This window comes from Homo sapiens, chromosome 16 (genome assembly GCF_000001405.40).
Source record: "Homo sapiens chromosome 16, GRCh38.p14 Primary Assembly".
Taxonomy (NCBI): Eukaryota; Metazoa; Chordata; class Mammalia; order Primates; family Hominidae; genus Homo; species Homo sapiens.
In genome coordinates, this window is record NC_000016.10 from 59,320,615 (window position 1) to 59,322,200 (window position 1,586).

The 1,586-nt window shown below is 39.6% G+C and overlaps 1 annotated feature.

Annotated features, from left to right (window-relative positions):
* Window positions 409-613: a silencer, noted in NCBI's record as "fragment chr16:59354927-59355131 (GRCh37/hg19 assembly coordinates)". NCBI's record gives its function as "represses an EF-1alpha promoter that drives an FKBP-Casp9 reporter gene in an ReSE screen in phorbol 12-myristate 13-acetate-treated (for megakaryocytic differentiation) K562 erythroleukemia cells {active_cell/tissue: K562(+PMA)}" and the evidence as "EXISTENCE:reporter gene assay evidence [ECO:0000049][PMID:32094911]".

A 1,586-nucleotide genomic window follows, 5' to 3' on the forward strand; every position in this document is an offset into this window, starting at 1 on the left:
TTAATACTACTTCCAGTGTGACTTTAAGAATGCAAATCTGATAATGCAGCCACCCTGCTTCAAAACCTTAAGGAGTTCACTCTTGCTTTCTAGATGAAGTTCAAATTTCTTAGCTTAGTGCTCAGGCTATTTTAGATTTAGGCTCCAACTACTGCCAATCTCATCTGACATTCTTTCATGTTGCGTGGTTCACTGCAGTTGGAGTGAGCTACTAGAGGCAGCACATTTGCATGACACTGGAGCCCCTCTTTTGTTTCCTCTAATGCTCACTGATATTTCAAAAGTAACTCTAGGGTTGTCACTTTTTCCTAAATGCCTTTCTTGACACCCTACCTGACCTGGCTACATTTGGGTTCTCTTTTCTCTGTTCCCATAGATACCTGAATAAACAGCCTGAAGAGTAATTATAGGGCTGGGCATGGTGGCTCATGCCTGTAATCCCAGCACTTTGGGAGGCTGAGGCAGGGGGATAATGAGGTCAGGAGTTCGAGACCAGCCTGGCCAATATGGTGAAACCCTGTATCTACTAAAAATACACACATAAGCCGGGCATGGTGGCGTGCGCCTGTAGTCCCAGCTACTCAGGAGGCTGAGGCAGAAGAATTGCTTGAACCCAGGAGGCGGAGGTTGCAGTGAGCTGAGATCATGCCACTACACTCCAGCCTGGGTGACGAGTGAAACTCCGTCTCAAAAAAAAAAAAAAGATTAATTATAACTACCTGTTGAAATACAATGACATTCATAATTTTAGACAAGGAAAGGGAAGGGAAGGTTAAAATAGGATTAATAACAAAAATATATCAGCCCGGATAAAAAGGAAATTAAAGAAAAATTAAAGATAACATCATAATTTTTTATGAATATTTTGCAGATCCAGTGAGAATTACTGTAGGACATTTCTTGAACATACTTGCCCAGCCTTACTTTGTGCAAATATTATTGAGAAGGTGAAAAATAAGCAGAAGGTCTAGGCTATGCATGCATATATAACATAATACTAAAATTAATAATTGATCACATTTATTGAGTGTTTACTATGCTGGCCACTTTTCATACATTGCCTTTGAAGCTTGTGATGAGCAGTAAAATATGCTTCCTTTATGCAGATGAGAAAACTGACACAGTGCAAACTGTGTCAGATCTTGAAGTCAACGAGAAGAAGAATTGAGAGTAAAACTCGTGTCTACTTGATCCCTAGTGGTTACAGGGATAACGTTGAAGATACCTTAGTGAATCAACAAAGGTGAGGTCAGCTGCGATGAAAACCTCCAATGTGATTTGACCAACCTGTATTATTCAGTATAACCAAACCTAAGGGGAGAATAGGCTAACCTGATGTCTCTTTAAATGTCCTGCTTATTATATGATTCCAACAACCACTGAGAGACTATAATTCATTGGAGGGAGTGGGGAAGGAGTCTTTATACGAACATAATATATTTCAGTGATCCTTCAATTTGGGTTTTTCTAGCCAACTGTGGGGAGAGATCCATTCTCTTTAATTCTTGTATCCCTAAAGTCAAATTTAGTAGGTACCACATGGAAGAAAGTCAATGTTTCTTAAATGGTTTTGAATGAGTGTAGTT